Source organism: Homo sapiens, chromosome 17, assembly GCF_000001405.40.
Source record: "Homo sapiens chromosome 17, GRCh38.p14 Primary Assembly".
NCBI classification, from domain to species: domain Eukaryota; kingdom Metazoa; phylum Chordata; class Mammalia; order Primates; family Hominidae; genus Homo; species Homo sapiens.
In genome coordinates this window covers 77,719,408-77,728,794 of record NC_000017.11, presented here as the reverse complement: position 1 = coordinate 77,728,794, position 9,387 = coordinate 77,719,408, and the positions used below count along the sequence as shown (strand labels likewise).

The 9,387-nt window shown below is 52.5% G+C and overlaps 1 long non-coding RNA gene across 1 annotated transcript, besides 1 other annotated feature; it reads left to right on the top strand.

The window, feature by feature from the left end:
* Positions 1-235: 235 nt before the first annotated feature.
* LINC01987 (long intergenic non-protein coding RNA 1987) lies at positions 236-5,923 on the top strand. The gene is made up of 2 exons (NR_104134.1): positions 236-385; positions 3,793-5,923. It is a non-coding gene; the product is annotated as a long intergenic non-protein coding RNA 1987 (long non-coding RNA).
* Positions 3,793-4,293: an enhancer, noted in NCBI's record as "H3K4me1 hESC enhancer chr17:75720584-75721084 (GRCh37/hg19 assembly coordinates)". NCBI's record gives its function as "activates a minimal SCP1, AML or CMV promoter by ChIP-STARR-seq in naive H9 embryonic stem cells {active_cell/tissue: H9 hESC(naive)}" and the evidence as "EXISTENCE:reporter gene assay evidence [ECO:0000049][PMID:30033119]".

The following is a 9,387-nucleotide window of genomic DNA, read 5'->3' as shown; positions in this document are numbered from 1 at the left end:
AGAACATTCTTGGGATTAATCCCTTAAACAAGGGGTCAGCAAACTTTGTCTTAAAGGGACAGATAGTAAATCTTGTAGGCTTTGTGAGCCACACTGCTGTTGCAGCTTGCAAGCAGCAGTGTACTGTACACAAACAAATGGGCATGGCTGTGCTCCAATGATGCCATTTACAAAACAGGCAGAGGGCTGGGTCTGGGCTTCCCCTGCCCTAACCTAAGCCCAGCTGGGCTTCATTCAGCACGCTGTGTACCACTCTTGATGGGTAGGCCCACTCTGCCCGCACCTTGAAACCTGACCAGGTCTTCTCCCACCCCATGAATGTAAACATTTTAACAACTAGCCTGACTGTGAAAAGCCTGGAGAATCCTTCCTACAGGGGACAGTGGTGAGTAGAAAGATTATCGTCAGGTGGCGCCTGTCCTTTTGTGACATCTGTTGCTAATGGAAGCTCTGTGTGTGTGTGTGTGTGTGTGTGTCCAGACATGCTCAGGAAAACTGCCTAAGCTCTCTGGGCTTCAGATGTTTCATCTGTTGAGGGAACGATCGGGGTTTGTTCCTGCTCCCCAGGCAATGTGTTTGGTTTCTGTCTTCTGTTTTTTATGGCATATTCTCCCCACCACACTCTCACCATGCTCTCCGGTTGTCGCTGCCAAGGATTGCAGAGTCCGAGGCGTGGGCAGGAGCCCCGTCCAGGGTCGATCTCCTGAACTCACGGAGCCGTGGGAATAGACAAGAGACACTATCTGGGAAAATGCTTTGAAAATAAATAAAATGGGGAAAGTCTAGTCCAGATAAAATGTAAAATATTTAGACTTGAGAACAGGTTTCCAGCTCACTGTGGAAGACACTCGGGGCTGGGGGAGGCCTGGGTCCCTCCCTCTGCCCTTCACATCAGTTTGGTCATCTTCAAATGGGAACCATCCCTGTGCTGACCCTGTGGCCTCACCAGGGCTCGAGGTCCAGGGCTATGAATGCCTGTTGTAAACAGCTCAGGGCGGGACACATGGAAACAATTAGAGACTTATTTCCCAGGACATTGGACCTAGAAGCCAGGCCCCAAGACATGAAGCAACGCTTCTGTGTGTGTGTGTGTGTGTGTGTGTGTGTGTGTGTGTGTGTGAGAGAGAGAGAGAGAGAGAGAGAGAGAGAGAGAGAAAGGGATTCTGGGAAGGGTGGAAGGAAGTGGTGAGACACGAAACGAAGCTGGACAACAGAGAAGACTCTGACTAGAGATTTTTACCATGAGATGGAGATAGTTGCAGAGGCTCCTGGCTGCCCTCCATGCTCCTGTCCCTCTCTGGCCCCTCAGCTTCCCTCCGGCCTTTCCATTGTTCTTGCAGGTTGCGGCCTCCCTGCCCTCCCCCAGCCAAGGTGGAGGCAGGCCCTTGGGTGAGGGGGACTGAGGGGCTTGAGTGATGATGGGCAGAGAAGGGTGACCATCCGTGCCAGGCCTGCGGCAGAATCACCGTTTCCATTTTTTAAAGTCAAATGCCTCATCGGGATCCCCTCCCACCCCGAGAGTCCCCCTATTATCCATAGGCCATTTGGTAGTTGTTGCTATGGAGACCACAAGCAAAACGGCATGCAAACCAACGCAGGCAATAGCAACAGAAAGGGCAAGGAGAAGGGCGGGGGGAGTGGGACGGGGTGGGGCGGCGGGACAGTACTTCCCCCCGCAGACTCCTTAGACCCCGATTCCCCCATGACCAAGGAGGTTCCAGTCTAGGATCTAGAGGAAGGAGGAGGACACTGAGATGCAGAGACCCTGCTTCTGGGTGGGAATCAGCCAGGGAACATGCAAAGAGGGGGCCAGGGCCCCTCCAGCCCAGCCTCAAGCACTAGCAATCAATTGGGGATTGAGGGGTGTAGGGCATGGAAGATGGGCCTGGCTTTGAGGAAAGCTCCTGTGCAGGGCCAAGCTCCTCTTGGTTTTCAGCCCCCTTGGGATGAGCCATAGAAGTCTGTGCCTCCAAGCCCCCCAAACCTGCCCCACTCAGCTTGCAGGTTTCTCTTTGTCCCCCCAGGGCCTGAGCTCCCCTTTTGACAGCAACGTTTGTGCTGACTTTGAGGTGCAGAGTGAAGCTGGGCGGGTGCCTGCTCCCCACCTGCACACACACCTCTGTGCACGGAGGGAGAGCTGAGCAGTGCTGGAATTGCCAAGCCAGGCTGCAGGATGTTGTTAGGATCGGGGGTGAGGTGCCCCCACAAGGACAATGGGAGGGTGTGAGAAATCTTCTCTGCTCTGGGCTCTTGGAGCATCGGCCGCCTCCCTGTGTGTCTGGCTATGCAAAGAGGCAGTGGAACAGCTCAATTTTTAAGAGGAAAAACCACAGCCCCCAAGAATATAAATATGTGAAATTGAGGTTTCTTGACTAAAATAAGGACTGATGAGGGAATGGAGATTTTTGGAGAGGACCTTTCCCTTTTCCCTAGAAGTTTCCCAACTCAGACGGATCAAAGAAAGCCACACAAACATACTCCGACTGGCTTCATGGGAACAGTGTCTGGGGACATTCAGTTAAGCTGATTCCCTTGGAGAAGTTTTGTGAGGCGGAGATTAGCACTTAGTGTGGGGACCACTGTCTAACTGTCTAAATAGGACACATGGTCTGCAGAAATAGCTGGAATGCTGCTCTGGGAGGGGCCTGCCCCATCCATTCTGCTTGGGGCTTGGCATTCTCCACAAGCACCCCCTCCCCACCCAGAGCTCTGCACTCCACTGGGGTCTTCAGGCGGCATCTCCTTGCCTGCTCAAGCCTTTCACTGATGCTCACTAAGTGGTCATGGGGCTTGATGGTCATGGGGGCACCTCATGCCTGCAAGGAGACCCTGCTTTCTTCTCGGGGTGTCTCCCCTCCGATTGGCATGATGCTTAGAGGAGTGTGAAGCCAGGTGCCCTTCCCATCACAGAAGACAAAGAGACCAGCACTTCGTTCCTTGCCCTAGGACCTCCAGAGGGGCAGACGTGTCCTGAGCTCAGCCAATCTGATGATCTCCTGGGACACCGACCCCTGAGGAAGTGACTCAAGATGGACAGGAATTGGGCAAAGTCATTCAGGGAGTTGCCGAACAAGCCAGTGAGCATGAGGCCATGGCTGCAGGACGGCTCCCCACACTTCCTCATCTTGGGAGGACCTCTCCCTTCTCCATAGCCTTCCCTCCAACCTCCTTCTCCTACTTCAGCCAGAGGAGCTTTCTGTATCTGCATCAAGAGCCTCACAGACCCCCGGCTCCTCATTTTCCATTTCTGTGCCATTTCTGCACCTTAGCACGAGCGTTTCTGAGGTGCGAGGCCATGTCAGGGACACGCGGGCCCTGCAACACCATCAACACGTGGTTCTCGGCACCTGGTGTTGCCTTCGGAGGCACAGAGGACGTTCTAGAAACACGAGGGTAAGCCAGGAGCGGCGGCAGGCCACAGGGTCACGGCGGTTCAGACTCTGAAGGGGTCCAGGTGCCCTCAGTCCCACCTGCTGGTTTCACGGGAACTGAGGCCTGCTGAGGACACACTGGCCACTGCTGTGTCGGAGCCTCCCCAGAGCTCGGGAGAGCTGTTTGTCTGACGCTGGGAGGCTCTGGAGGGGGCGTGTCTCCCTCTTCACAGTCTCCTCAGCAGCAAGTGGCTCCCCAGAGATCCCCTGGTGCCACCACATACCACTGAGGGGTTTGACTTGTCCTGGGCGGCCCCTGAAACCCGCCACCACCTGCCCTGCTCAGCTTGCAAAGTTCCCTTTCTGTCCCCACCCCCAGCTCAGCTCCCATTTTGACCACAGCATTTGTGCTGACTTTCAGGTGCAAAGAGAAGCTGGACAGGCGCCCACACCTGGCTGGCACGCACACCTGTGTGCACCGAGGGGGAACTGACGAGCACCTGAATTGCCGAGCCAGGCTGCAGTAAGTCATTAGGATCGGGGTGAGATGCCCCCACAGGGACAAGGGAGGGGTGAGAATCAGAGGGGTTTCTTTTCTCAGCTAAGAAAGGCCCCAGGGGCAGCCTCTGCCCCACATGGCTCTCAGTACCAGCGATGGGCAGGGTCCCTTCGTTCTCATTGCGGTTTCCCCAGGGCTCCCACACCACCAGCTGCCTCTTCTAGAAACTCCCCATCAGGCCTTCTCCCCCGCGAATCTTGGTAACGTCCTTGCTGCCTCTCTCACACCCTCCTGTCCTCCTCTTCCTACAAACATGCTCCTGTCTCCATCCCACCTTGAAGAAACCCTTGGCCGATACGGCACCCACCCATGGTCCCAGGATAACCCCTTTTCTTCCCTAGGCTAATAAAACAGAGAAAGTAAGTGCATCGGGCACTCCAGACCAAAGCCATTTGCAGAATGGAGTCACAGGCTGACATCCAAGACTTTAGCCAGCTGGCTTCAGGCAGCAGATGCAAAGGAGAGGTCATGAGCAGGCCAGGCCCTGGCTAGGCAGGTGAGAGGTGACGGCGACCTTGTCTAGGATGAGGGCCCCAGGAAGCCCTTGGGAACCCAGGGTGGTTAGGCCAGGCCAGTTGGTGAGAGCCTGAACTCTGGAAGGAAAGAACAGGCTGTAGTGTGGACGAGACCATCCCTCCTGCATCGTAGCTGCCTTGTAATCCCATCCTCCTGACTCAGGCTGGGCTCTGCATCAGGCACCCCAGAGTCCAGGCACCCCAGTTTGTCAGGCCTGTGTGGGACAGCGCCTGAGCCGGGAGGGCTCCCTTCCCTCCTCCGGGATGCTCTGGCCTTGTCTCTGTCATGGCCATTTATTGCAACCACGGTCAATAAAGGAGGCAGGAGAGGGCACAGTGGCTGTGAAAACGTTTGGCTCACGAGGAACAGGTATCCTAACTGCGTGGGACAAGGAGGCGGGTGGTGTCGTGATTAAAGCACAGGCCTGGGATCACACTGCAGGGGCTCAGATCCCAGATCTGCAACAATGTGGCTGCGATGACCCTGGCTGGGCGCGGTGGCTCAAGCCCCCCAGTCTCCGATTTGCCAGCCTGGCTGTTCACACACAGGGGATGCACTGGCTTCCCAGGCATCCTGGGCACCCCCTCCAGGTGGCATAGGGGCTCCCCAGCACTGAAGGGTGTTCAGCAGCCTGCAAACCAACTGACTCACAGAGCCCAGATAGTGACGCCAAGACCAGCCGCTCCGGGGCCAACATCAGAGCTGGAGAGCTGAGCCAGTGGCACGCCAGTCACTGAGGAAGGCCTCTTGTTGATAAAGACAGGGCATGAATTCTTGGGGGGCTGTTACGTACCTTCCCAAAGGGAGAAAGAAACCCCTTGTTCAGTCACCGCACAGCTGTCTCTGGAGACAGGAGCACAAAGCTGCCTTCTGCCCAGGGCACTGCTTCCTTGGCAAGTGACCAGCAGCTGGGACCGCACGTGCCAAAGGCAGCAGCTGCCATGTTTGACAAACTGGAACGGAGCTATGTCCAAATTAAATCCCCCCAACCAGCCTCTGCCATACTCCCTTTGGGGACAGGGGTGGTCGGTCGTTACGCTTGCAAAATTCCAACAGCACCTAGAGTCCCAGGAAATGGGGCTGCTGGCCAATAGAGGTGGGACCCAGGGTGACAGGCCACATGCTCCTTAGAGAGCCAACAGTGTTTCCTGAATTCCATGGGAGTTTGCCGAGGGGACATGGAAGCTAGGATTCCGGAACACCCGCTGGGAGCCTAGTCCTGGGCTAGGGGCTGCATTTATCATTTCATCCTCACAACTACTGTTGCAGTTTCGCCTAACAGAGAAGGAGACAAAACTAACCCGGTGGCCACGTGGCCGAAGGCACAGAGCCGTTGAGTGGCAGCGTGGCATTTGAATTCAGGCCGGTGATGCTGAAGTCCCCAGGTCTTTTTTTTTTTGATGCCCACAACAATGTAACTACTAATAGCCTGTTATTGATGCAGGCCTTACCAATAACATAAATAGTTGATGAACACATATTTTGCATATGTGTTATATACTGTATTCTTATCATAAACGAGCCAAAGAGAAGGAGATGTTATTAAGAAAACGGTAAGAAAGAGAAAATATATTTAGCATTCATTTAGCAGAAGGGGATCACCATAAAGGTCTTCATCCCTGTTATCTTCACCTTGAAGAGGCTGAGAAGGAGGAGAAGGAGGGGGTGGTCTTGCTGTCTTAGGGATGGTGGAGGTAGAAGAGGCAAAGAAGGTGGAAGGGAAGGCAGCCACGCTCGGTGTAAGCTTTATTGGAAAAAATCTGCATTTATGTGGACTCTCACCAGGCAAACCCGTATGGTGCTCGAGGGCCAACTGTATTTCCACTACCGTCATCCGCCTTGCCCAGGGTGACCTGATTCACTGACGGGAGGGTTTGCCTTCCCATGCGCATCAGTTCAGCCTTCCCCTGATGTCATTCTTTTCCTAGTGGCTAACAGGCTGGATGTGCAGTTGGGGACAGTCAGTATCTGGGGTCTGGTGAGGACCCTCTTCCTGGTTTGCAAAGCAGGAAGATGCCAGGCATCTCTTTCTGTCCTGCTCAGTCAAGTGTGAATCACAAAGCCTGAGTTCAGATCCTCGACCTTGGGCAGGTGAACTTCACTCTTATGAGTCTCAATTTCTGTACCCACAAGATATAGAATATAACGGTACCTATTCCATGGGGCCTTGAGGAACAAAAGAGAGAATGCCTGTAAAACTCCCCACACAATGCCTGGCACAGAAACGCCCATCCACTTAAGGAAACATCATCATCATAACAACAGTAACAAAAGGAGTGCAAAGGTGTACCATGTCACGAAGCATCTTTTAGCACAGATTATCTCCTTGAAACCTTACACCTCTGTGAGGTACACAGGGCTGATGCTGGCATCCCGGTGTTACAGACCAGGATGTGAGGAGGGAGGGCCCCCCTTGGAGAACAGTTAGCCAGTGCCTCCAGCTTGGGGCTGGCCCTTCCCCTCCTCCTGAGCCAGGACTCCCAGGGAAGGACTCCTTCATTATCATCCTCACCCCCACTGCCTCCCCCGAAGGGCTCCATATTTTGAAATATATTGCCAACAAAACTGAATGTATTAAGTAAGTGTGAATGTGTTTCCCCATTCGTATTAATCAAAGACATATGTATCTGCCAATCACAGTTTCTGAGCAGCAGCCAGACCCGGGCGGGAGCCAAGGCTTAGGAGCTTTGGCTGAGAGGGGGAGGTTCCCCCAACATCTCAGAATCTTGCATACCTACTAAGTGCCAGACACTGCTAGAGGTGCTTGGTGTATGTCAGTGAACAAAACAGAGATCCTCAGAGTTTATGTGCCAGCAGCAGGGAGACAGAAGAAATGAAAAACATAGTAAATGTTATGTACAGTGTGTTAGGAGACGGCAGATCTAGGGAGACTCGTGGAGCAAAGGAACTGGGGACAAGTTGGCATTCAAAATAGCGGTTCACGAAAGACCTGCAAAGACCTGCCATTCGGGGACTGTCCCAGTCCACTTGCCTTCATCTGGCTGATCCTCCTTCCAACACGTTCTAAACCCTCTTGTGTCGGGCCCCGTTTCCTGGTTCTCCTTATAACTCAGCTTTGAGAGTCTGCACCACTGCTCTGGCTAGGACTGTCTGCCCCTCTCCTGCACAGTAGCTTAGACCAGGGTCAGCAAATCAGCAAATCATGAGCTTCAGGCAGCCACTCTCCACCTCCCTGACCATAGCAGACATTACTAATCCATCATCGCACTCTGGTTTACTGGACCCTTCCACACCCTCCCAGTCTTTCTCAATAAAAGATTCCAGGAAGCCTCGGGCAATCATTCAGAACTGGCATGAGAAATTAAATCTATTTTCTATCCAGGTTTTAGTCTTTCTCTCTGGTTTTGCTGTTTTTAGCCAACCTGGGTCAATGCCCAGATCAGTTAAGCCTGTACCTCCAGGTGTGGATCTAGATTCTACATTGAGACCTGGACACAGTGGGTGCACATGACCTTTGCGTCCATTGCACCCCAGCACCTGGCACAGGGCTCATGTGCTACTTTCCAGGACACAGTCTCACTGGATCTTATGCCAGTTTCCAGGATGAGTAGGTTTATTAGTCTGGGGGTCATCAAACTGAGGTTCCTTGAAACAGAAGCCGATGTATTAGTTTTAATATTTTAAATGCCATTGAAAATCTTGGAAGATCTTCACAGGTCTGTCCTGAGCAGGTGCCTGAGGCCCAATTCTTTGTGGAGTAAGCCACTACCTTTGCAGTGGCCTAAAGGCACTGAACTGGACAGGGCACCCCCATTGCCCTTTGATCCACATCCCATTCCCCTCTGCAGCATTTCCCAGCACTCTCTGCACTATTCTGCCCTCTACAACTGTGAGTTGCTGTCATGCTGGGAAGTGAATGGTCAAGTTAGAATCAGAAAGCCTGAGTTCAGATCCTTGACCTTGGGCAGGTTAACTTCATTCTTATAAGTCTCAACTTCTGTACCTACAAGATATAGAATATGACGGTACCTATTCGAGAGCATCTTGAGGAATGAAAGAGAGAATCTTCAGGTAAAACTCGATGCCTGGCACAAAAATGCCCATTCAATTAACTAATAATCATAATAACGACAATACATTATCATAGCTTCTGTTAGAGCAATGGCATAGGGCTATGGACTGAACATTTGTGTCCCCGAAAATCCAAATGTCAAAGCCTAGTCCCCAGTGTGATGGTATCGAAGGAGGGCCTCTGGGAGGTCATTAGATCATGGAAGTGGAGCTGTCTTGCTTGGATTAGTGCCCTTATAAGAAGAGGCATGAGAGAGGTTGCTTCCTCTCTCTTTCTGCCACGTGAGGACAAAACAAGATGACTGACCACCTGCAAACAAGAAAGAGGCCCTCATCAGACACCAGATCTGCTGGCACCCTGATCTTGGACTTCCAGCCTCTGGAACTGTGATAAGCAAATGCTTGTGTCTAAGCCACCAGCCTATGCCTATGATATATTTGTTAGAGCAAGTTTGTCCAACCTGTGGCCCATGGGCCGCATGCAGCCCAGGATGGCTTTGAATGCAGCCCAACACAAATTCCTAAGCTTTCTTAAAGCATTATGAGATTTTTTGGTGATTTCTTTTTTTTTTTTTTTTAGCTCATCAGCTATCAGTAGTGTTAGTGTATTTTGTGTGGCCCAAGACATTTCTTCCAGTGTAACCCAGGGAAACCACAAAATGAGACACCCCTGTGTTAGGGCATCCCAAACTGACTAAAAGAGGGGGTCATATCATCAAGGGAGTCCTGGTCAGATCCAGCTCAAGTTAGGTTCTAGGTTCCATGGATCCACCGGAGGTCATCTCTCTGGTCCCTGGATGTACGGTTGGACATACTTGGTAGTGGGCAGAAGTGCCATGTTGTTTCTAGGCATGTAGGGAAAGAGCTGTTGTAGAGGCATGGACCAAGTAGAAGCCTCTGAACTAGACC